This window comes from Homo sapiens, chromosome 2 (assembly GCF_000001405.40).
Source record: "Homo sapiens chromosome 2, GRCh38.p14 Primary Assembly".
NCBI classification, from domain to species: domain Eukaryota; kingdom Metazoa; phylum Chordata; class Mammalia; order Primates; family Hominidae; genus Homo; species Homo sapiens.
In genome coordinates this window covers 106396191-106422973 of record NC_000002.12, presented here as the reverse complement: position 1 = coordinate 106422973, position 26783 = coordinate 106396191, and the positions used below count along the sequence as shown (strand labels likewise).

General features: G+C 39.7%; 1 protein-coding gene across 4 annotated transcripts in view; it reads left to right on the top strand.

Moving 5' to 3' along the window:
• RGPD3 (RANBP2 like and GRIP domain containing 3) overlaps positions 1 to 19568 on the top strand; it is a 67530-nt gene extending 47962 nt beyond the window's left edge. For 2 of the 4 annotated variants that reach the window (XM_017004738.2, NM_001144013.2), the window contains 3 exons: positions 6985 to 7124; positions 9689 to 9890; positions 17745 to 19568. In XM_017004738.2, the coding sequence (XP_016860227.1) occupies positions 6985 to 7124; positions 9689 to 9890; positions 17745 to 17755 (353 nt within the window). In that variant the 3' untranslated portion in view covers positions 17756 to 19568. Of the gene's footprint in view, positions 1 to 821; positions 1841 to 3281; positions 4143 to 6984; positions 7125 to 9688; positions 9891 to 17744 lie in introns of those variants that run through there. The other 2 variants (XM_017004739.3, XM_047445567.1) reach the window with 2 other exon arrangements.

Sequence of the window (26783 nt, the reverse complement as noted above, 5' to 3'; positions counted from 1 at the left end):
TTGTGGGATACTAATGTTGGGATATGAACGATGCTTTGTGAACACCCCTAAAATATTTGAGCAATTTTTTTCTCCCTTAATAAGTTCATGGTGAGGTTTCAAAGAGCAAGAGAACTTAGTTAAAGACATTTCAGTAACTGGAAGATACTTCTATCATGCTAGGGCAGAGCAAAAGAACTTGGTACAGTGTACGGACTCATGCTTGAATCATGCGCATTAACGTGAGTCTTTTTTTAAAGTGTTCATTTTCATTTGTTCTGTTTCTTTTGTCACTCAGAAAACATGATATTGAGGCTGGGCACGGTGGCTCACTCCTAGAATGCCAGCACTTTGGGAGGTTGAGGTGGGCAGATCACTTGAGCTCAGGAGTTCGAGACCAGCCTGGCCAACATGGTGAAACCCTGTTTCTACTGAAAATACAAAAATGAGCCGGGCGTGGTGGTGCGTGCCTATAATTAGCAGCTACTCAGGAGGTTGAGGCAGGAGGATCGCTTGAGCACAGGAGATGGAGGTAGCAGTGAGCTGAAATCATGCCACTGCACTCCAGCCTGACTGAGTGACTGAGTGAGACTTTGTCTCCAAAAAAAACAAAAAACAAAAAACAAAAAAAAACATGATATTGAGATGTTCTCATTTTATGTGTTGTATGTCAGTCTTGCTCATGTATTAAATGAGCAAAGAATGAAACTACAGGGATAAATGAATATGTAAGACAGTCAGATTGGTGGTATAAATTGAGGGATTCTGGCTTTTTATGTTTTAAAAGCATATTCATTTTGTTTCCTAAAATGTTAAAAAATGAAATATTCTTTATTTTCTAGGATTTAATTTTAGCCTTTTTAAATCTAATCCCATAGCCTTTTGGACTAGCACCCCTTCCTCACAGCCTGAGAGCAAAGGTATAGAACTAGCATTCTCAGTATGAGATAACAGCAGTTTTTAGCAGCTGGGTAGCCCTTAGCAAAGTATTAATAACTGTGGCTGTATGAAATGAAGTACTTACCACTACAACATGCATGTCAAAGAATGCCAGTTTAAGCAAAGTACCTTTTGACTGGTGGCATGACACCCTTGTTGGTTTGTTTTTTAAAATGTAGTGGGATGCTGATTTGTAATGTACTTCATTGCTCTGCTATTTCAGGTCTGCTCAATGAAGACCTATGTTTTATCTAATGTTTATCTTTAGCCACTAACGTCTGCCAGTATTCACATGTAGTGGCAACGGCATGTATACAGTATGGAAGAGTGTCCCTGTAGGGCTGTTCTTTTGTGCATGGTTTAGAAAAATGTTGTATTTGAAAATGGACCCCCGTTTTTAACAGCCAGCATTCTACAGCTTGCATATTATATATGTTGCACAGATCATTTTTAGAAGTGTGGCTACTAGAGTGGAACAAGAAGTGGGATCTGTTGAAGGCCTTCAAGAACAGGTTAGGGAAGTGAAATCTCACCCTTAGTGACCAGTAACACATCTTAGCCATGCCAAACAAGTACAATGATAAAGTAAAAATCTCTGATTTTTTTTTAATTATACCAGTTTTATTACCAGCTAAGGTAGCTCTTAATCTTTTATTTTAAAGATACGGTCTTTGAGAAATGTGAAAAGTGTTAACTTAAAAGTGGATGTATACTTGCGTACAGTTTCTGTGAGCTCTAGGTTAGGAATCCCTGACCTAAGAACGAATGTGCCTATACACTACTGTAGAACATAGAGCCTTATTCTGTTTTGAATCTGATAATGTCATTGTCCCAAGGGACCTTAGAAATGAAGACTTTAGACATGAGTAAACTGAGGCCAAGAGAGGCTATCTGATTTACCCAAGGTGTCTTTACTGAGTAATACCAGAAGTGGAACAAGAATCTGTATCTTACGGTGTACTGTTATTTCTCCTAGCTAGGAAATGATACTAAGTTTTTGTTTATAATGAAGGAGAGGGACAAATTTAACATTGTAAAAGGAAGGGCACTGGTTCTGCAGAGCAGTGACATCCAATAGAAATAAAATATAACCTGTGTATGTAATTTAAAATTGTCATTTGGTGCAATGGCTTGTGCCTATAATCCCAGTTACTTGGGAGGCTGAGGCAGAGGGATCACTTGAGCCCACAAGTTCCAGGCTTCAGTGAACTATGATCACATCACTGCACTCCAGCTCTGGGTGACAAAGGAAGACCGCATCTCAAATAAATACATAAATAAATAAATTTTCTAGTAGCCATATTAAAAAGAATAAAAAGAAACAGTTAAAAAGGGAAACAGATGAAAGTAACTTTATCGATAGATTTGATTTAACTCATTATGTCCAGAATATCATTTTAACTTCTAATTAATATAAAAATTAATGATATTTTACATTATTGTTTTTCACCAAGTCTTCAAAATCCAGTGTGTGTGTTTACACTTACTGTTAGCATGTCTTGATTTGGACTAGCCACCTTGTGAGGTTTTAATAGAATGTGGCTAGGCTACCATATTGGACACCATAGCTCTCAGAATGTTTCCCTGTCACCAGTTGCTATACATGGCATGCTTCATGACTGGCTTACTTTATTAAACTCCTTTAGCCAGAAGTTCTTCTTTACATTAGTAGATCAGAACAGGTTGCATATAGAAGTTTTTTCTGTTTCTAATTTTTTGCCCTTTGCATTAATGGTGGCTGGGGATGGGTTGTTTTCAGCCATATGAATGGTCTTAGATTTTATAGTGTTAGCTACCCATAGAGTAACAGTTTTTATTTAATTTTATCTAGTATCATTCTTGAACACAGGCAAACTAGATGCAACTCTAGTCACCTTCCATTCTTGGCAATTGTTAACTTTCCTTACAGGAACTAATCACAGTTGGCTTTGGATTAGTTTCATATGTATACTAATACTTGCTTATGTTTTAAGATTTTTTTCAGTTGCTGCAAATGCATGGATATTTTGGTAAACTATTGTATGCTAAGTATAGTTAGGCAACACTTTAAAATTTTTAACCTTTTTAAATTCTAGAAATTTGTAGTAATTCTTTTCAATGACTATTAAGTAAACACAAGATTTTTTTGTTTTCTTTGGTTTTAAATAGATTCTGTGTTCACTTAGGGTTTTTGGTAGAACACTAAATCAGGATGCTAATTCTAATTCATGATTATCGTACATCTCTGCATCAAAGTATATGTGTTTTTTATCAGTATGCTGTTTTAACCTATAGATAGGTTCCATGGTTTTTATTTTCAGGTAGAGTATTAACGTCAATACTTAATACCTTATCTTTGTCAATTTTTTTGACTGGTGTTACAGCAAAAGAGAAGAAAAAACCTGAAGATTCTCCCTCAGATAGTCTCGGTCTCCTGACCTCGTGATCCACCCGCCTCGGCCTCCCAAAGTGCTGGGATTACAGGCATGAGCCACTGCGCCTGGCTGACACATGTCCTAATTCTGGTATTCACCAGATTTGTTTCGTGTTCTCCGTTGTTAGTCATCAAATTTGTCTACTTTTTAAATAGAAACATTAGCTAGAGCAAGGAACTTAGAAACACTCAAGCGGCACTGAATGTGTAGAACTGCATAACCAATATAGCTTCTTTGCTTTCACATTTACAATTAGTTGGAGTTTTAGTTCAGCCGTACCCAGTATCTTCCATTCTGCTTCCAGGAAGAAATGGAAAAATGTCAGCCATGATGATGCAGTATTTTAGTAGCAAGTTGATGGTGTTTTGGTTTCCCATGGGAAATATTGTCACTGGAGCATTAGCAGCTATCGGTCACTTATTAGGGTAAAAAAGCAACTTCAGAAGAATTTAATATATGCCAAAGAATCAACAAAGGAAGTAATCAGCCAGGGCAAAGGTCGCACAAGAGATTGTAATCTAGCAATCAGCAGTGGAATAAGCAGTCAGCTTACCAGAAACCCAGGAAAATGCTTCAGAAAGGTCAGTCAGGACTAAGGCAATTTAATGAAATGCAAAATAAATGAAATCTGAAGTTTAAAAATCTAGATTACAATTCTGGTTTCTAACTCAGTTATGAGACCTTGGGCAAAGTCATTAAATTTCTCTGAACTTCAGATTTTTGGGAGTCAATAAACCAATACATGTCAAAGGGCCTGGTAAACTTTACAGTTTAGACCAGGCGTGGTGTCTCACCCCTGCAATCTCAGCACTTTGGGAGGCCAAGGCGGGTGGATCACATGAGGCCAGGAGTTTGAGACCAGTCTGAACAACATGGTGAAATCCCATCTCTATTAAAAGTACAAAAATTATCTGGGCGGGATGGCATGCACCTGGAAGTCCCAGCTACTTGTGGGGCTGAGGTGGGAGGATGGCTTGAGCCTGGGAGGCAGAGGTTGCTGTGAGCCAAGATCGTGCCACTGCACTCCAACCTGTGTGACAGAGTGAGACCCTGTCTCAGAAAAAATAACACTTTACAGTTTATCAGCAAACAGCAAAGTCTTGCTAGGCAATGTAATTGATTAGTTCCGTGCCCTGGATTCTGGGCTCTTAACTGTATGAGCACTGTAGGTGTGAGCAGCAACAATTACGAAGCTGCAGAGGTAAAGGTATAAGGGCAGTGATTGAGGATGTCTACCAAGCAGATTTCAGCAAGTGTGTTTCAAGAAGTATGCAGCAATCTGAAATACCTAATCCTGAAAAATTGCTAGAATCTAGTCTTTTAATTTTGGCCAGTATTTAGCAGTAGTTTGGCCCTCTACTCTAAATTAATAAAAAATAAGTAGTACTATATTATGAGCTGTGTTATCTAACAGTTTGTCTTAGCTAGTAGCAATTAATTTATAGCTGCTATTAAAATGACTAACGTAGTTAAAAGTTTGATGACTAAGTTTTTTTTTGTTTGTTTTTTTGTTTTGAGCTGGAGTCTTGCTCTGTCACCAGGCTGAAGTGCAGTGGCGTGATCTTGGCTCACTACAACCTCCGCCTCCTGGCTTCCAGCAGTTCTCTGCCTCAGCCTCCCCAGCAGCTGGGATTACAGGCACCTGCCACTGTGCCTGGCTAATTTTTGCATTTTTAGTAGAGATAGGGTTTCACCATCTTGGCCAGGCTGGTCTTGAACTTGCTGACCTCGTGATCCACCCACCTTAGCCTCCCAAACTGCTAGGATTACAGATTTGAGCCACCACGCCCGGCCTTGATGACTAAATTTTAAGAAATGTTTTAGCAATTCTTCATACACCTTTCACTTATCTTATAGTTACTTAATTCCTCTACTCTTATCATTTGATATTTTCATTTTGTGTACCTCTGTAAGGCCGAATCAATAGATTTTGAACAATCTCATACTTAACCTTTAAAAAAAATCTAATAGGCCCAGTTTCCTCTCAACAATCTTTGAAGAACCTTCGAGAAAGGAGAAACACAGACCTCCCGCTTCTAGACATGCACACTGTAACCCGGGAAGAGGGAGAAGGCATGGAGACAACTGATACGGAGTCTGTGTCTTCCGCCAGCACATACACACAGTCTTTAGAGCAGCTGCTTAATTCTCCCGAAACTAAACTTGGTCTGTTACTCTGTCTAAATATGTTCTTCTTCTTTAATTTCACTGTCTTATTTAATTACTATTACTCTAAGGTACATATGCTTTTTTGGGCTGCTCCAATAAAATTTCTTTCAATATTCCACTACCTGTTTGCATTAGGGTTCTCTAGAGGGACAGAGCTAATTGGATGGTTGGATGGATGGATGAGATGGATGGATGGATGCTTATTAAGTATTACCTTACACGATCACTAGGCCATCTGCAGACTGAGGAGCAACGAGAGCCAGTCCAAGTTCCAAAACTGAAGAACTAGGAGTCTGATGTTCAAGGGCAGGAAGCATCCAGCACAGGAGAAAGATGTAGGTTGGGAGGCTAGGCCAGTCTCGCCTTTTCAGGTTTTTCTGCCTGCTTTATATTCACTGGCAGCTGATTAGATGGCACCTACCAGGTTAAGGGTGGGTCTGCCTTCCCCAGCCCACTGACTCAAATGTTAATCTCCTTTGGCAACACCCTCACAGACAACACTCAGGATTAATACTTTGCATCCTTTAATCCAATCAAGTTGACACCCAGTATTAACCATCACACTGTCCAAATGGAAAAATTATTAAACAAATCTTTTTTAAAATAAAATGCTAGCTCTTGCCCTAGGCTTGAACCATAAATAAGTGGTGGGAAGTTTATAGTCACAAATAGGTGGTGGGTATTAGAAAGCAGGATAAACTATCCTCTCACCCTTCCAAGAAACTGACAGTTTCAGTTTATTCCTCTTGATGAAGTAATGCTAAATTTTTGTAGTGATGTTTTGGTATATTTTATTACCTGTAATTAATATTACTGTTCAAAATTTAGGGGGAAATCTGTCATCTTCCTGAAACTTCAGAATCACCTGGAGTAAGGGTCATTTGTATTCATGGTCACTGACCACGTGGGGTAGAAACTGCAAGTCATGGTTCCTTCAGGCAAAGTTAATAGTGGTGACATGGAGGCATCATGATAGAGCAGCAGACTCCAGAAGCCAATTTGACTTTGTGATTTCTGCAAAAATTACCTGTCAACTGTGAGCCTGTTTCATCGTCTGTAAAGTTTGAATAATGATACCTACCCCGCCTGATAGAAGATTCTTATGAGGGAACATGATACGTGACCAGTAAATGTTAATGCTTTCCTTATACGTGAAATGACATAAAATCTTGGAATATTAATAGATGGGAAGAAGATGTGTAATAAAACTGTCTATAAACACAATTCTGACAAATTTCAGAACTGGGACTCATAGGGCTTGTATTCAGTTAGATGACATGCTTTACAACAGAGATACTGTTTTATTTGTGTCACCTACAACATATAATCTGTTGATTGAGGTATGCCGAATAGATGAATGGCAAAGAAAGCAGAGCTATAAAATATCACATAGTAAGATATTTATATTTAGATTTTTCTTATTTAGAATCTTCATCTGTAATGTATGATTTTGAAAATTAATTCTTGGAACAACATGTTGCAGAGCCTCCATTATGGTATGCTGAATTTACTAAAGAAGAATTGGTTCAGAAGCTCAGTTCCACCACAAAAAGTGCAGATCACTTAAACGGCCTGCTTCGGGAAATAGAGGCAACCAATGCAGTCCTTATGGAGCAAATTAAGGTGAGATCAGAAAACCTGGCCACCATAAAAACTGCCAGTTTGGTTTTCTGGACCCTCCATACACATGTACCCAAGTTTAAAAATTCACATTGCAGATGCATCTATAACGTCTTGATCTTTATATTAGATTCCTGATGGTGAGAAATATTGCCTTTTTTTTTTTTTTTTTTTTTTTGAGACAGTCTTGCTTTGTCACGCAGGCTGGAGTGCAGTGGCACGATCCCGGCTCACTACAAGCTCCACCTCCCAGGTTCACGCCATTCTCCTGCCTCAGCCTCCCAAGTAGCTGGGACTACAGGTGCCCGCCAACATGCCTGGCTAATTTCTTTGTATTTTTAGTAGAGACAGGGTTTACCATGTTATCCAGGATGGTCTCGATCTCCTGACCTCATGATCCACCTGCCTTGGCCTCCCAAAGTGCTGGTATTACAGACGTGAGCCACCGCATCCAGCCAAAATACTTCTTTTATACCTATTACATAAAGATTATTTCTTAATTCCTACTTTTCCTAAGAAACCGTAATAGATTTAGAAACTAGAGAGATGTTCACAAATCATTGTTCACATATGCTTAAATAAAAAATGGGTGTGAGTCTTTGAATTCTAAAGATAACCAGTGAATTTAAATTATTCAACTGATATTTATAGTACTGAACTACTAAACAGTTTTCAGGTGGAGATGGCAAAGTGGCATGGGAAGTTTTTCCTGTTTAAAGTAGACACCAGAAACATCTAGGAATGTTGCAGAACAGTTGAGGATTACTCAAATGAGGTATTTCCACCCTGGCTCACTGATAAATCACCCCTCAGAATATAGTCATACTGCTTGTTGACGAGTTCTTATGACCCAGGCCCTGGGCTCTACGTATATTATTTAATCTCATCACTGGTTAAGAGAAAAATTGAAGCTGGTAAATGGTGGAACAAAATTCAGACTCATAGCTGTCTGAAAAGTACATGCTTTTCCCCTGTACTTTGCTGCTCCTAATAGATCTGTCCTGCCACTGTGCAAGGCCACTAGCTATCCTTGTCAGATTATTTTAAAGCCGAATTCAGTTATTTTCAGTAAATTGTATATATCATGACATTCCACCATTAAATACTTCAGTATGCATCTCTATAAAATAACATTTTCCCACTAATAAAAACATTATCATAGCTAACAAATCACTAACTAGCCCAGTAAACCTAAATGACTTATTTAAATGTTATATTTTCTTTTTTTTTTTTGAGATAGTCTCGCTCTGTCACTAGGTTTGGAGTGCAGTGGTGCAATCTCAGCTCACTGCAATCTCCGCCTCCCAGGTTCAAGCGATTCCCCTGCCTCAGCCTCCTGAGTAGCTGAGACTGCAGGCACGCACCACCATGCCCGGCTAATTTTTTTTATTTTACTAGAGGCATGGTTTCACCATGTTGGCCAGGATGGTCTAAATCTCCTGACCTCGTGATCTGCCTGCCTCAGCCTCCCAAAGTGTTGGGATTACAGGCATGAGCCACCACTCCTGGCCAAATGTTATATTTTCATAAATTTATACTCTCTTCATGATTTCTTCATCTTCTTTATTGTCACTTTTTTAAATGGTCCTAGGTTTGAGGACAAAGTTCGCTAACTTTCTTGCCTAACCTAAAATGAAAATATACTAAAAGCTATGGCTTGGTTTCAACCTGGAAATCTTCCTCAAAGACTTGAACATGATATTACCTTTTTTATATCATTCTTTGCCTCATTTCTCTGATAGTGTTTTACATTGTCTTATATTCCTGAATTTTCACTGTGTCTGAACTTTTGATTAAGTGCCGTTCACTGTGGACGTCTTAACTGCCTGGGACTTCAGGAACAGCGTAGGGGCAGGGGGTTAGTGGAGGCTGCCGATGTTCCCCTCAGCCCATTTTCAGAGCCCCATGCCATACTGGCTTAGTTTCTATCAAAAGTAGAAGGCAGAGGGAACATCTTGGTACCAACCCATGGCTCCAGTTAGTTGCTCCTCATGGAGACGTTCCATCAGTTCCCCAGCTTTCAACTCCATTTCCATGATACCCTGTGCTTCTGAGACAAGAACCCCAGTATTTACACAGGATGCATCCTCTCCTCTTGTCAGTGATACTTGGTAAGCTGCTGGACTGACTCATTTCCACCTCTTCATCTGTTTCTCGTGAGAATTTCTTGATGTGTCTCATCTACTTTTTCTCCTCTTGTATTAGCTTGTTGCCTTTCTACTTCACCCCTCTTCCTTCCAACCCCAAATAGCTTAGGACAGTGGAGTCATATAGCCCAACACTTGGTTCATATGCAGCAATCCACTTTCTAGGCAAATGCAGCTTTGAAACTATCTCATAGTTGGAGTTCCGGTTTTCATGTCAAATGGATTTTATACGATGATGTCATAAACTCCTTTGAAATGCTTCACATGCAGCTGCTGTAGTTAACTGAATTCCTTCCTTTATTGCCATATGGAGGGAAGGGGGAAATTTGGGGGGAAGAGAAGAAAAATACATGAGTTCAGTCTGCCATATTTAATCAGAAGCTCCTAAAGCCCATTTTTAACTCATTTCTCTAACACCAGCTTCTCAAAAGTGAAATAAGAAGATTGGAAAGGAATCAAGAGCAAGAGGTGTCTGCAGCTAACGTGGAACACTTGAAGAACGTCTTGCTGCAGTTCATTTTCTTGAAGCCAGGTAGTGAAAGAGAGAGACTTCTTCCTGTTATAAATACGATGTTGCAGCTCAGCCTTGAAGAAAAGGGAAAACTTGCTGCGGTTGCTCAAGGTGGGTAAAAGGAGAGTCTCAGAACTTCTGACTTCTAACTTAAACTAAACAGCCTGGTGGTTGAGAAGTTGTCTGTATGTGTAACTTTTCAATTTTGCTCATTTGAATTGGGTCTGTCATATGAGTAGGCCGTGACTAGATTTGAAAAGCTGACTTTTTAACATCTTGAGGCAAATGTAGTACATTTATATAATTTTAACGTTCAGCAAAATACAATAAGTGCTTAGCTTGATCTTCTAGCTCTTTGAAAATTGGATTTTTATCCTGGTGTTGCGTTCTGGTGTTCAGCTGAACGTGGTTTTGTTTTAAATTCTACTTTTTAAAAAACATTTATTAGCTTGTTCCTTTTCTACTTCACCCCTCTTCCTTCCTCCAACCCCAAATAGCTTAAGACAATGGAGCCATAGAGCCCAACACTTGGTCTATATACAGCAGTCCACTTTCTAGGCAAATGCAGTTTTAAAACTGTGCCATAGGCCAGGCGCCGGTGGTTCACACCTATAATCCCACCACTTTGGGAGGCCGAGGCAGGCGGATCACAAGATCAAGATACCGAGACCATCCTGGCCAACATGGTGAAATCTCGTCTCTACTAAAAATACAAAAATTAGCTGGACGTGGTGGCATGCGCCTGTAGTCCCAGCTACTCAGGAGGCTGAGGCAGGAGAGTCACTTGAACTCACGAGGCGGAGGTTGCAGTGATCTGTCACACCACTGTACTCCAGCCTGACGGCAGAGCGAGACTCCATCTCAAAAAAAAAAAAAAAAAAAAAAAAAAAAAAAAAAAAAACTATGATGTAGTTAGAGTTGGTTTCCATGTCAGATGGATTTAATACTGTGATGTCATTAACTTCTTTGAAATGCTTCATATACAACTGCTATAGTTAACTGAATTCAAGCTGCATCTTAAGAATTATGGTTTCGTTTTTGTTTTAGTTTTAAATTACTTTTATTTTTGACATTTACAAGCACAAGGAAGACGCTATAATCTCTCTTGAGTTGTCACCCATCTCTAACAGTTTTCAACTCATGGACAATCTTTTGGCGTAAATAGGGGAGAGTTAGAGACTTAAATCCCACACATCATTTCTTTCCCCAGTGAATAATTCAATGTTTATTGGATTTCTCTGTCACCTATACCTAGTTTATGTTCATTTTGCCTGTGTTATTGTGAATGTCTTTTTATAGTATCCTAAATAGAGCTCATATATTGCATTTGGTTGATGTTCCTTAAGCTTTATTTTGTTGTTGTGTTTTTGTTTGTTTGAGACGTAGTGTTGCTCTGTCACCCTGGCTGGAGTGCAGTGGTCCGATCATGGCTCACTGCAACCTCCTCCTCCCAGATTCAAGCGATTCTCCTGCCTCAGCCTCCCAAGTAGCTGAGACTACAGATGCACGCCAGCTAATTTTTCTATTTTTAGTAGAGACGAGGTTTCACCATGTTGGCCAGGATGGTCTCAATCTCCTGATCTTCTGATCTGCCCACCTTGGCCTCCCAAAGTGCTGGGATTACAGGTGTGAGCCACCACGCCCGGCCATTTTGTTGTTTTTTTATCTATAACAATTATATATATAAATATATTTTTAATGTGCCACTTATTAATTGAAGAAAGTGGTCATTTATGCTATAGCAGTTCTATATTTGGGTTTTAATCATTACAGGGTAACACTGAGCTTGTTCCAATTGCCTATAAATAGGAAGATCCAGGTGCAATTAGGTGGGATGGTGGACAAAAATACATCATAGATGGTATTGTGTGCTTTCTAAGACATCAGGAGGCCCAGAATGTCCAGACATCTTACTTTTGACTGATTGACCTTATCTAGTTGGTGTTCTTTAACATGTTCCCCATCCCCTGTAAACCCTAATAACTAAACTGATAAGAGTCATCCTCAAAATTGAGCAGGCATCTGAATCATCTGGTATACTTACTAAAATTCCAATTGCTGGTCCCCAATTTCTGACCCAAGATTCTGCAGTTTTAGCATTTTGTTGCTGATACTTCTGGTCTGGGGCCCATACCTTGAAAACCCCTGGTCTAGAGGCCTGATAAGATTCAGGCTTAATTTTTTTTACAGACATACTTCATAAGTAGTATTGATAGTTTCTTTGAATCTGGTTTTTTATAATCTTTCTAATGATGAAGGAGGAATGTTCTCAATACTGACAGTAATCTCAGTTCTTCAAACTATAGGATAGGTTTCTATAGCCACAATAGTATTTTTGTCACAAGGGCCCAAATAAGAATACATCATGTATATTTTTAGTAGTTATTCAGATTACAAATTCACTGTCTTTAATTTATTCTAACAAAAGTAAACCTAATTTTATAGTTATAAAAAAGAAGAAATCTACTTCTAGTCACCTAAGAGTAAAACTGCCCCTATAAAAAGCAAGACAGAAATCTCAAAATTATAACTAATTTTATAGTTATAAAATTAACCAGGACTTTAAGAACGTTTGCATTTTAAAATTAAAGTTTTCAATAGTTTTCAATACAACAATGATATTATCTCAAAATACTCAGCATGTCTAACAGCCCTCTTTTAAAAGCTCAGCATGTTTAATGTAGATGTTGCTAACGTCCAGGTGGCTCCTATAAGTTAAGGGTCCATTGATTTAGAAGTTCTAAAAGAGACTAACCTAAGGGATACCAAGAACAGATATTTTTAAAGAATTTCATAGAGGAGATACACATTAGAAACCCAGAACTCTAAGATGTGCATTTGGTAAGTCCTGTAAACAGACAGGAAAACACATTTAAATTAGTTTGCCCTTTAAAGATTATTTACTACTTGTCTCTTATCAATGTGAGTACATAAAAGAGACCTTATTATAATTAAAAACCATGATGGTTTAGCAGCAGATTTAGATACCTTACATTTTCTCTTTAAGAGAGAGAATGTAAGGCCTGGCACGGTGGCTCACACCTGTAATCCAGCACTTTGGGAGGCTGAGGAGGGTAGATCACCTGAGGTCAGGAGTTCAAGACCAGCCTGGCCAACATGGTGAAACCCCCTCTCTACTCAGAATACAAAAATTAGCTGGGCGTGGTGGTGCATGCCTGTAATCCCAGCTACTTGGGAGGCTGAGGTAGGAGAACTGCTTGAACCCAGGAGGCAGAGGTTGCAGTGAGCCGAGATGGTGCCATTGCACTCCAGCCTGAGCAACAAGATCAAAACTCTTATCTCAAAAAAAAAAAAAAAAAAAAGTAAACTACAAGATAGTTCAAAAGAAATTACACAGAATTCAGCATGGGAGAAACAAAAAACAAGAGTGGGAAAAGACATCAAACATGTTTTTACTAATCGAAGTTCTAAAAGGAGAGACAAGAATACAGCACAGATAATATATGAAGAGAATGGCTGGAAATCTTTCAGAACTGTTGAAGGATATCTATCCACAGATTCAAAAACCCAATAAAATCTCAAGCAGTATTAAAAAAAAAGAAGAAATCTACTTCTAGTCACATAAGAGTAAAACTGCCCCTAAAAAAGACAGAGAGAAATCTCAAAAGCAGCCAGAGAAAGAAGACACATTGCCTCACAATAGACTTCTCAACAGCATTGGTGTAATACTGTCTCATGTACTAAAAGAAATAACTGCCAACCTTTTATATTTTCCAAGATCTCTTCTGGAAAACAAAAACTTTAAGAATCTGCCTTCACTGAAAATTCTTAATGATGTACTTCAAGCAAAAAGAAAATTTCCTAGGTAAAAGGTCTAAGATGCCAGAAAGAAAGACATGCAAAGGAAACTTACCACCATATTACAGATATGGACTGTCAGTCTGACTGGTCACACTAGGGGCATTTTGTTACCAAGGCCTTGAAAATAATAACCAACACTGCATACATGAGGGATGCTAGAAGAAAGGTCTGAGAGCCACTCTTCCTGGCACTGAAGGAAACAGGGCCCATCAGAGCAAACAAGTACCTTTTACCTCTCTCATGTCCTTGGAAGCAAATGTTTATAATCTCTGGTTTTGTGTAAAGTTTATAATAGTATTTTTCATTCAGGTTGCTACCTATTAGTGGATGGTGAAATTAATTTGGTGGATCACATTCAGAATATTTTTTTAAAATCAAAAGAATACAAGCTGGGCTCAGTGACTCACACCTGTAAGCCCAACAGTTTGAGAAGACCAGGCAGGAGGATTGCTTGAGAACAGGAGTTCAGAATCAGCCTGGGCAACATGGCGAGACCCTATGTCTACAAAAATTTTAAAATATGCCCGTTCTGGTGGCATGTGCCCATAGTCCTAGCTACTCGGGAGGCTAAGGCAGCAGGATTCTTTGTTATAAGGGGTTCGAGGCTGCAGTCAAACTTCTGGTCGAAATCCTGGTCACGCCACTGCATTTCAGCCTGGGCAACAGAGTAAAACCCCATCTTTAAAAAAAAATTAAGAAATAAAAATAATATGTGAAACATTAGAATATGTTGAATCTAGTAAGGCTAATGTTGAATCTACTAAGGATAAGCAATTATTTCTTGACACTCTACATATATACATGAGTGTTGGTAAATACCTGACTGTATCATCAGCTCTAGATATAAAATGTTTATGATGTTGGCTGTGAGTTAATGAGGAATAGTTTTCCTTTCTGTGGGTTTGGGTGTATTTGGGAAACATTAGCTTAGGGGGTAAAGTAGGTTACCCAACTCTGAAAAGCAGCATCAAAATCTTTATAATAAACACATACTAGGGGCCCAACTTAAATTTCAAGCAGATGTCATGAGCTGCTCAGAGTAGCGTGTTACAACTCTGCGTTATAAGGTAAAATGACTTAGAGTGTAGCAGTAGTCCCCAAACAATGTCAAATAGACAGTGGTAAGTATAGATTGCTCTTCTCCTTGCATCACAAATGTTAATTCACCCTGCCCCCACACGCATTAAAACTCAGCATATTTCACAAATTGAGTGTTTCATTTCTATTTGAGATAGACTTATGGTAAGTCAGCTTTGCTCCCCAAATAAGTTAGCCATATAGTACTTCTATATGCAAAATTTGAATCTCAATTTTACTACTCAAGCCGGAAGTAAAAGTCATTTTTCTATATCTTCTTTGCTCCCAGACTGGGTTACAGTTTACAGATCTGAATATTGTCACTTGTACACCATACATACACAGAGGTCTAAAACTCTCTACAAGTAAATAAAGAAAAAAAGCCCAGCAACCCAATAGGAAAATAGGCCAAGCCTGTTATAGGCTTTTTGATCATCTCCAGACTGGCAGGAAGAGAATGCATACTCACACTGTAAGTGCCTGATTTGATTTGCAGAGGATATAGAACCTTATCAGAAAACAGCCTTCCAAGGCAAGAGCAAATGCACCCTATCTAAGCACAGCTTTTCTCCAATTCTTATTTACCTAAGGAGATGAATAGTTGCCAGGAACATTGTTTGCACAAGGGCAGGAGCCTGCCAGATCTGAGAACACAGCAAAATTTTTATTTTGTCAAAAATCTTATATTCAGCTTACACCATTCATTGCAGGTGAACATACAACAGTGCATTTCAGTTTAGGGAAATGTTTATAGTCATCTGGTTCTCTTTATTCCTGGGAACAAGGTTACCTCACTTGGAACACATAACCAGTGCCAAGTTGTCCATCCCTAAGCAATATCGCTTCCTTCTACTTTCTAGAAGTTCTTCAGATTGTGGAAGAGAGACTTTTCAGAGTTCTTTGCCCTCATTGCCTCCTCCAGAAATTCATGCCTTTGTATAATCTCTTCCCCTTGAGAGCCAGTAGGCTAACCTAATGAGTTATTTTTAACCAGTAGAATACAGCAAAAATGATAGATTACAAGAGATTGTGGCTTCTATCTTGCTAGCGGACTCTCTCTGTCTTCTCTGCTTGCACACTTTGTTGAAGCAAGCTACCATCCCAGAGGCAAGGAACACAGGCCATCAGTTTAGCAGCCTTGAGGAACTAAATTCTTCCAACTACCACATAAGTTTGGAAGTAGATTCTTCTCCAGTCCAGCCTTCAGATGAGACCCCAGCCATGCCAACATCTTGATTGCAGCCCTGTGAGAGACCTTGAAATAGAACCATTTCTGATCTCCTGACCCACAGAAACTGTGAAATAAATATGTGTTAAGGTACTAAGTTTGTAGTAATTTGTTACGCAGCAGATTGTAAATAACACGCAGATAAAACCAGACAGAACAGAAAAATAAAATGGCTTTAACTCTAGAAAATTTCCCCATGTAAAAGTTTGAAAATGCTACTCTGCCTAAGGTCAAACTGTCATACATATATACGTATGAAAACACAGAATGGTGTCTGGAAGGGTAATACCAAATTAAATCTTTATCCAAGAGGAATGAAAACCAGTATTCACACAAAAACCTATGCACAAACCTTGTGAATATATTAAAAACCAGTGAATTATGCACTTTAAAAAGGTGAATTATGTGGTATATGAATTATATCTCCAAAACATTTAATTAAAAACCTGTACACAATTATTCGTAGAAACTTTCTTTAAAATTGCTAAAAACGAGGAAGATCTCAGTTATCCTTCAACTGGCAAATGAATAAACAAACTGGTACAGCCATGCAATTGAATACTGCTCAGCAATAAAAAAGAATGCACTGCCAGTACAGCAACATGGATAATTCTCAAATGCATTATGCCAGTTGACAGAGGTCAGACTCAAAATACTATGTACAGTGTGATTCTACTTATATGACACTGAAAAAAGCAGAACTATAAGGACAGAAAACAGGTTAGCGGTTGCCAAGGAGTGGGAGAAGCAGCCAGGGAGAACTTTGAGGAGGTGAAAATGTGCCAGGCCTTGGTTGGTGGTGGTACGTAACTGTGCATTTGTCAAGACTCAGTGCTATACGCTGAAAAGGGCAGGTTTTACTATAAGTAAGTTGTACCTCAATAAACATGATTTTTAAATGATTAAAACTTTGGTTTTTGTTTGTTTTGGTTCAGTTTTAAGGTTTACCATAAATCTATTGGTTTTAGATTCTAAGTTGTATATAAGCTTCTGTTTTAAAAGAATTTTTTTTAAAATCCTCTTATCGTCAACAATATTTAGTTGTGCTGGAAATTTTATTTTGGAATTGTTTAATAGAGAAAGACAATAAATAATGTTCAAGAACAGACATTGATTCATAACATCAAAGTATATTGTGAGAAGATGGTATTTCAGAATAGAGGAAGAATTTCTTATGTGCTGGTAAGATTGTAGATAATCATTTCTGCATAATTTTCATAGCTGGATTGCTTTAATAAAGCCATTTAAAGGTTAAGTTCTAGATTGCTTCATGTTGCTTATCAATGTTTTAAAGCTAAAATAGAAAATTAGCTGTTAAGTTGGCTCAACCGGAAATTCAGTATATCCTTTAAAAAGAGAAATTTAGTAAGCAGTGTGTCTAAAGAATGACATATGGTTGGGTACAGTGGCTCGTGACTGTAATCCCAACACTGTGAGGCTGAAGTGGGAGGATCACTTGAGCCCAGGAATTTGAGACCAGCCTGGAAAACAGTGAGACCTGCATCTCTACCAAAAAACAAAAAATTACCCAGGCATGGTGGCACACACCTTGTGGTCCCAGTTGCTTGGGAGGCTGAGGTGGGAGAATCACTTGAGCCTGGGAGATCAAGGCTGCACTGAAGTCTCATCACGCCACTGCACTCCAGCCTGGGTGACAGAGCAAGACCCTGTCTCAAAAAAAAAAAAAAAAAAGAACCCCCCCCACCCAACAAAAAAGGCATGTGATCAGTAAAAAAGACATTATTTGCTTATATTGTAGAGTGGTTCTAAAATATAGATTTTACATTGAGAAATTTTAATACTCTCTTTTTTCTTTTTTTTTGTTTTACTTTCCAAAGGTGAGGAATAAAATGCTTCCCGTTCTTCTGGATGGGCATCCTATCTTCGTAGTTGGTTTGGACTTCGATAGGTTGATGGAAGGAATGTTTTTATTAACCAAATAAAATCTATTTACAAAAATGGTTCATGTGTATTACCATCATTCTTTTGTCAAAAAGTGTGTATATGTTTGCATTTACATATATTTGTACATCTATATGACAGATGTATTTTAAAAGTTTCAACTTGAAGTAAAAGTACAACAGCTTGAAGTGTTGATACCAGGCCACAGCCCTCTAACTCATGTGATCTCCCATGCATGCTGCCAGAATAAAACCACCAGGAATGAATTCACTCCCCACTTCTCTGGAACCTCAGGACCCGCCCATTTCTCGGCAGTACTGTGAATTTTGAAGTTAAACTAAATTTTGGTACCATACCAACTGGAATTTAGGCTTTAAAAATAATGTTTCAAGGCCAGGTGTGGTGATTCATGCCTGAAATCCCACTACTTGGGGAGGCTGAGGCTGGAGAATCGTTTGAGGCTAGTGAGCTGTGATTGTATCACTGCACTCCAGCTCGGGGAACAGAGCGAGACCTTGTCTCTAAAAATAATAATAGTAATAAAAATAACATTTTATGACTATTTATTGCAAGGTCAGATTTACAGATTGTTATAAATTGTTGAGAAATTTTTGTGATTAGAATATGAAGGAAAAAGCTTTGTTGGTAAAAGTGACATGTTAAGGGGCTATGAAGTAAATATGCTGCAGTTAATTGTGCTAAGTTAAAATACAGTTTAGTTATTTGCTTTAAAATAAACTCTTCTTTTTTTCTTTAAAGTATACTATCTCAAAACTCATTATGTTGTCAGAGCCCTAGAGCTGGCTAGTGTAACACTGACTATGAATAGGTGGGCCCACCACTTGAGTTGAGGTGATTTCATGGTGTCTTTCCAGGCTCTTGATAGGGTGTCACTGCATGCAAGCCATGAATCTGTTTTGAGAATCCTCTCCATTTTCCCAAATAAAAACCTATCCCAACAGTGACTATATCACTCAGCATTGAATCTAAATATAAAAGTGGTGCTTTCAGTGTTTTTGGCAGATAGTGTTCCATAAGCTTTCCATCAGAAGGGATTTTAGACACCTTAGAGGTCCGTGCTACATCTTCACAGTTCCTCTGAATAACCTTAGGTGGTAGTGTTACTTGCCTTTGACACCGCTGCATATGTTTTAATGACTAGATCCAAACTGTGTTGTTCTTAAATCAAAAATTGGATAATTTTTAATATTTATGTATTAATCACATAGTATGCTCTCTGAAGTTCTCTTAAGCCTTCAGTTTATACTCTTAATTTTCTTTCTGAGCTGGGGAACTGACTTTGCACTTTGGTTACACAGAACATTGGTTTCCAATTTAGTTTAACTGAAATTTGCTGCTGATATGTTGAGTTTGTTCTTTAAAAAATATCTCATATATCTCGTCTTTCCTCCTTAGAAGAACAGACCTAACTAGCGAATGTATGAATGAAAATGCATCTATTTCAGAGCCGACATGAAGAGTTTAGTTTTTTTACTTTATAAACTGTGAATATGAGTATGCCAGCTGCATACGATGTAACTAATCATATTTAAATATATTTCACTTTCTCTTTGACTTGAGACCTTTTGAAGTCTGTATAAACTTGTTTTGAAATATAGTCTCCACTTACAAATGTCATAACAAAATACTTTTTTGCATGATAAAAAATTGATTACAAAAGGCATATTCTTTCATGGTTTCTGCAATGAGAGGAAGTGTAATGATTATTTTAATATTTCTATTAAATATGTTTAACTGTATATTTTTATGGCAGCTCTTTTATGTTACACACTGTCTCTTTGGGGTTGTTAATTGGTTTCTGAAAGGGAACTTCAAACTCCTTTACTACTGGCCTTCCATGGTTGGTCCCTATTAGGTTGTTGAGAGAACGTCGACCAACTCTTTGATACCCGCCAGGTAGACCGTAGTACCTGCCATGTCTGACACCCTGCATCCAGCTAAAACCAGAAACAGCGCTGGGCCTCCCTGTGGACAAGACATTGATTTGACCAGAAGCAGATGTCTGGCTAAGGCTGCCAACCAAAGGGTGGCCTTAGATGAAGGGCTTTGTTCAGTTAGGGGCAGAGGTCATTAATTTTTTTTTTTTTTTTTTTTTTTTGAGACAGAGTCTTGCTCTGTCGCCCAGGCGTGAGTGCAATGGCGCAATCTCGGCTCACTGCAAGCTCTGCCTCCCAGGTTCATGCCATTCTCCTGCCTCAGCCTCCTAAGTAGCTGGGACTACAGGCGCCCGCCACCATGCCCAGCTAATTTTTTGTATTTTTAGTAGAGACGGGGTTTCACCGTGTTAGCCAGGATGGTCTCGATCTCCTGGAGGTAATTAATTTCTTTGGATGTTTGGACTAGGAGATGGGGAGAGGCAGAGCAGAAAGAGAAACACAGATGCCACAAGAAGGAGGAACAGAGCTAACCCTGGATAGGACTGGACACAGCAGCCAGACCAAGAGAGGCATCTAGTGAGAAGCAGCTCTTCAGCCCTGGGCCTGGTGCACACATCACTCCTTGGTTTCTAAGAACCAAATTTGGCCCAGCACAGTGGCTCATGCCTGTAATCCCAGCACCTTGGGAGGCCAAAGCGGGTAGATCATGAGGTCAAGAGATCGAGACCATCCTGGCCAACGTGGTGAAACCCCGTCTCTACTAAAAACACACAAAAAATCAGCTGGGCATGGTGGTGTGCACCTGTAGTCCCAGCTACTTGGGAGGCTGAGGCAGGAGAATCACTTGAACCCGGGTGGCAGAGTCCAGTGAGCCGAGATCACACTACTGCACTCCAGCCTGGTGACAGAGTGAGACTCCGTCAAAAAAATAAATAAAAATAAAGCCAAATTCATACAGTCCCTGAGGAGTGGGAACTGATGCACATCTCTTGTATACAATAAGCTATGCTTGTGCTCTGAACAGTGTAAGATTGAGAATTGTATTCCTTTAAAGAAAGTTTGGCAGAACTGTAACTGAATTACTAACAAGGCACTGAGAAGGCATACCGTACTTTGTATTCTTTTTAAAGTCCCTGTTAGGTGGTGGTGTAGCTGGAAGTGTATAGTATTGAGGATGTAAAGTTTCCCCTAAAAAATTGTTGGTATTTGGCGAATGGCATAACACATCAAAAAATTGGTTGTATCATATGATTAAATTTCAACGTGATGATTTCAACTTGGTGGAAGACTTCTGCTTCGTCTTGGTATGTGAAAATCCCCTTTGCTTCAAACTTAATACAGACCAAGGAAAACAACCTGATACAAGTTTGCAAGTGTCTTTGAGCTAATGGTTTTTCGTGGGTATTAAAAAGCATTGGGTTATTTATGTATAATTACGTAGAAAGAAAATGTTTGTTCCATTCAAGATACGGTTACACGAAAAGGCATCTAGTTGTGAACTTCAAATTATTACTTATATACCTACAGAAAATTCCTATAAATAGGCTGGGCGTGATGGCTCACACCTGTCATCCTGGCACTTAGGGAGGCCAGGGTGGGCAGATCACCTGAGGTCAGGAGTCCAAGACCAGCCTGGCCAATATGGTGAAAACTTGTCTCTACGAAAAATACAAAAATTAGCCAGGCATGTTGGCCCATGCCTGTAGTCCCAGTTACTCAGCAGGCTGAGGTAGGAGAATCGCTTGAACTCGGGAGGGGAGGCTGCAGTGAGCCAAGATCACACACCACTGCACTCCAGCCTGGGCAACAAAGTGAGACCCCCATCTCAAATAAGGAAAGAAAACTCCTATGAAGAAACACTATACGTCTGAGTTTCAATAATAGAGATGATTAACCCAGTTTCCCTGCAAGGATGTGCTCACTGTGAACAGATGTAGTGGTTACCACTCCAGATGTCTGCCTAGCATTTGAGACAACCTGTCACCCCTGCCTCTCTCTGGGAACTTTTGCCCCACCACCATACAGAGGGGCAGTAGGCCCAGCCATAATCAACTGAAACAGATACAGAGTTATGACCTGAGCCTAGGCAATTAGGTTTTCTCAGGAATATGGATCTGGGACTAAAGAACTCAGCATCTTCCTGTGACTGGAATTGTAGCATGTAAGTACAGAAGCTTTGGAGTGCCCAGAAAGAGCAGAGAAAGCCAGCCAAGAGAGTGCCAGGTTTAAGTTGACAGAAGAGGTCAACAAAATCGTGAAGTGAGTGTTCTGGGGACCTGAGAGTCAAGGGACTGGATTCTGTACAATGTCTCTGCATCATCATAGTAAACTTTCTACACATGCTTTGAAAGTAAATATCAGATAATTTGGAGCACAGTATAATGGTAAAGTATAAACTGTGAACTTACACAAGGACACCACAATTTCCGCCTCACTGACGAATAACTTGGGGCATGTTCTTGACTGCTCTGAGCCCCCATTTCTTTATCTGTAAAAAGGAAATAAATTACATAGTTGTGAGTTATTGGACGACATAAAACCCAGCACAGAGGGCTGGATGCAGTGGCTCACGCCTGTAATCCCAGCACTTTGGGAGGCCAAGGTGGGCGTATCACAAGGTCAGGAGATCGGGAGCATCCTGGCTAACACGGTGAAGCCCCGTCTCTACTAAAAATACAAAAAATCAGCCAGGCATGGTGGCGGATGCCTGTAGTCCCAGCTACTTGGGAGGCTGAGGCAGAAGAGCAGAAGAATGGCGTGAACCCAGGAGGTGGAGCTTGCAGTGAGCCGAGATTGCGCCACTGCACTCCAGCCTGGGCGATAGAGCAAGACCCCATCTCAAAAAAAAAACAAAAACAAAAACAAAAAACCCAGCACAGAGTAGGCATGCCAGCATTCTCTCACTTCTCAGCCTGCAAAAAGATTTACCAATTTACCTCATTTTCTTCTGTTCCTTGTTCTGACCTCAGTGCATGACCCATAGCACCAAGTGTTACTGTCGTTTATGAGTGAACAATTGTGTTAATAAGGAAATAAATTGAATGTTTTCCAGCATTTTGACCTTATTTTTTAAAACTTTGTACCTCCCAGAGCTGGGAAGAGATTCCAGATTTCCAGACTTAGTCCAGAGTCATGACTAATGCTGGACTTCGTCTATAGCTCTTATCGAAATGTCAGAAAACATTTTTTGCCCCAAAAACCATTAACTGATAAATTTATAGCATCAAACTGCATTTTTTAAAGGAGGCTTTTTGTTTTTTCTTTTTTGAGAGAGAGAGAGTCTTGCTCTGTCGCCCAGGCTGGAGTGCCTTGGCATAGTCTCAGTTCTCTGCAATCTCTGCCTCCCGGTCTCAGGTGATTCTCCTGCCTCAGCCTCCCAAGTAGCTGGGACTACAGGTGTGTACCACCACATCCGGCTGATTTTTGTTTGTTCGTTTTTGGTAGAGACGAGGTTTTGCCATGTTACCTAGGCTGATCTTGAACTCCTGGACTCAAGTGATCCACCCACCTCGGCTTCCCAAAGTGCTGAGATTTCAGGTGTGAGCCACCACACCTGGCCAAAAGAGACTTTTTTTTTTTTTTTTTTTTTTTGAGACGAGTGTCGCTCTGTTGCCAGGCTGGAGTACAGTGGCATGGTCTCAGCTCACTGCAACCTCCACCTCCTGGGTTCAAGTGATTCCCCTGCCTCAGCCTCCCGAGTAGCTGGGACTACAGGCACGCGTCACCACGCCCGGCTAATTTTTTGTATGTTTAGTAGAGATGGAGTTTCACTGTGTTAGCCAGGATGGTCTCGATCTCCTGACCTCGTGATCTGCCCACCTTGGCCTCCCAAAGTGCTGAGATTACAGGCGTGAGCCACTGCGCCCAGCCCATGCCTGGCTAATTTTTTTTTTTTTTTTTTGGATTTTAGTAGAGACAAGTTTTCACCATGTTGCCCAGCTGGTCTTGAACTCCTGAGTGCAGGCAATCCACCCACCTCACCCTCCCAAAGTGCTAGGATTACAGGTATTTGGTTTTTTGTTTGGTTTTCAAGCAACCTTTCTCAATTTTGCTATGCTCACTCTTTCTTCACTTGTTGGTATTGGCTAGATACAGATTTTGCTTTCCTATTGGAGACTCTTTTGAGAGCTGGCTACTCCCTCTTGCTCCTTTTCTTTTTTCTCTTCCCTACTTTCAAGTTTCTTGCTCTTTTTCTTACCCCATAAGTTACCAGAAATTCATAACCCCTTGAGAGGGCTTTTTGTTTGAACTTCAGTCTTTAGTTTCATCAACTTTTCTAAGGAAATTGATCTGTTAATGAAAGTTGGCTTGCTTGACTTCAGAATATCTGTATTATTCAGTGATGTGTTTTTCTGGTTGCTTTGTTTGAGCATAGTGTAAATATCACCCATTGCATAGCTATGGCAGTGACATAAATCTAGCAGCGTAAGATCGAGAAAAGCTAGAAGTCCCACCACAGATTGTATTTCAGTGAAAGGGATTCATTTTAACTGCTTATAAAACTAAAGAAAACTTATAAACATGGAAAACAATTATTAAACCCACCATATGCTCATACTGATATTAAATGGTGTGCCAGATTCTAGAAAGAGTTACCTTTTGGTAAGAGCACTGCTTGTTAACTATGGTTGGTTGCTTTAGATGTCTAGTGTGTAGACAAAAGCATGAATTTTATTCCTTATAACCAAAGTAGAAACCTACTCTGAGCAATTTGACAAAAGGTTTACATTATTTATTTTAGTGTAGTTTAAGATTACAGTAAGATGCAATTCCCAAAGAGTGAAATATAAGGCTGGGCGTGGTGGATCACGCCTGTAATCCTAACACTTTGGGAGGCTGAGGCGGGTGGAGCACCTGAGATCAGGAGTTCGAGACCAGCCTGGCCAACATGACGAAACCCCATCTCTACTAAAAATACAACAATTAGCCAGACATGGTGGTGCCCACCTGTAATCCCAGCTACTAGGGAGGCTGAGGCAGGAGAATCCCTTGAACCTGGGGTGTGGAGGCTGGAGTGAGCTGAGATCATGCCATTGCACTCCAGCCTGGGCACACTCTCAAAAAAAAAAAAAAGTGCAATATAACTTTTCACAAAATATGGAACTGTGGTAGTCTAGAACAATGTCTCAATATACCTCCTACACGAAGTATAATAGTAAATATCTGTATTTGGTGGCATAATATGCTCTTAGTATAAACCAAAAACACATGCTGAGCATTGGACATTGTCCAATGTTTAATTCATATGATTCATTCTGAGTTTCTGACTGAGATCATTCTTTCAGACTATGTGTATTTTTCCTGGGATCCATAAAATATGCAGCCCTAACGTGATTTCATTTTTGTTTCCTTTCCTGGAAAAGGAGAAATCATTCAGATCAGCTTTCATATTGCCTTATAGACGATGACTTCAAAATAGTTTTAAAGGGACTCCTTTGTTCTAGAACTGCTCTAACACAGTAGCCACTAGCCACATGTGGCTATTGAAATATTGAAATGTGGTTATTCCAAATCAGGATGTACAGTAAATATAAAATACCCACCAGATTTCAAAGGCTTACATGAAAAAAGTAATGTGAAATATCTCACTAGTAGTTTTTATAGTGATTACATGTTGAAATTTTAACATTGTGAACATATTAGTTTAAATAAAATGTATTGTGAAAATTAATTTCATGTTTCCATTTACTTTTGATAAAAGTACTACTAGAGGCTGGGTGTGGTGGCTCACTCCTGTAATCCCAGCACTTTGGGAGGCTGAGGTGGGAGGATCACGAGGTCAGGAGACCGAGACCTTCCTGGCTAACACGGTGAAACCCCGTCTCTACTAAAAACACAAAAAATTAGCCAGGCGTGTTGGCAGGCGCCTGTAGTCCCAGCTACTAGGGAGGCTGAGGCAGGAGAATGGCGTGAACCCGGGAGGCGGAGCTTGCAGTGAGCTGAGATCGTGCCACTGCACTCCAGTCTGGGCTTCAGAGCAAGACTCCGTCTCAGAAAAAAAAACACTACTAGCACATTTTTAAATTACTTGTAGTGATCTCATTTGTACCACATTACATTTCAATCGTATACTGCTTTTCTAAAGAGTCACTGCTAAGCCCTGAAATTAACTCCAAATACCTCCCTGGGATACAGTGCCAAGGAAGGGGCTTCCTTGAACTTCAACCTCTAAAAGTAAGCAAGAATTGAGAAATATCTTCTGCTTTGAAAAATATTCACTCCCCAACGCTAATACATCAATTACATATTATTTGGGGGCTAACTAAGCTCCTATTTTAAAATGTAAATTGAAGAAATTAGGCCAGAGTCATTCCCATCTTAGTGCCAGTCATATAATCAGATAATTAGATTGCTCTTTCCTTAAAGCCTGTTTAGTTTTCTTGTTTGCTGGTTTTGTTGTTGTTGGGTTTTTTAATTTGTTTTTGTTGTTGTTGTTGTTGTTTTGAGATGGATACTCACTGTGTCACCCAGGCTAGAGTGCAGCGGCATGATCTCTGCTCAGTGCAACCTCCAACTCCTGGGTTCAAGCGATTCTCCTGCCTCAGCATCCTGAGTAGCTGGGACTGTAGGTGCATGCCACCACGCCCGTCTAATTTTTTTGTTTTTTGGTTTTTTTGTTTGTTTTGAGACAGTCTCACTATTTCCCAGGCTGGAGTGCAGTGGCACGATCTCGGCTCACTGCAACCTCCACTTCCGAGGTTCAAGCGATTCTCCTGCCTCAGCCTCCCAAGTAGCTGGGACTACAGGTGCATGGCATTATGCCTGGCTAATTTTTTGTATTTTTAGCAGAGATGGGGTTTCGCCATGCTGGCAAAACTGGTCTCAAACTTCTGGCCTCAGGTGATCCAGCCGTCTCAGATCAAAGTGCTGGGATTACAGGCATGAGCCACCACTCACAGCTCACTAAGGCCTTTTGCCAAGACAAATTAGCTCTTAGAGAACCACAGGATTCCTTTTGTAATGTATTACAAACTAAAGTCTTACCTACTCTTGAAGAGTAGAAAACATGAAAAAGTTCTATGTTAGCCCTTAGAATAATTAAAAATTCATAAGCTCTGAAATAAAGACAGGTAATAA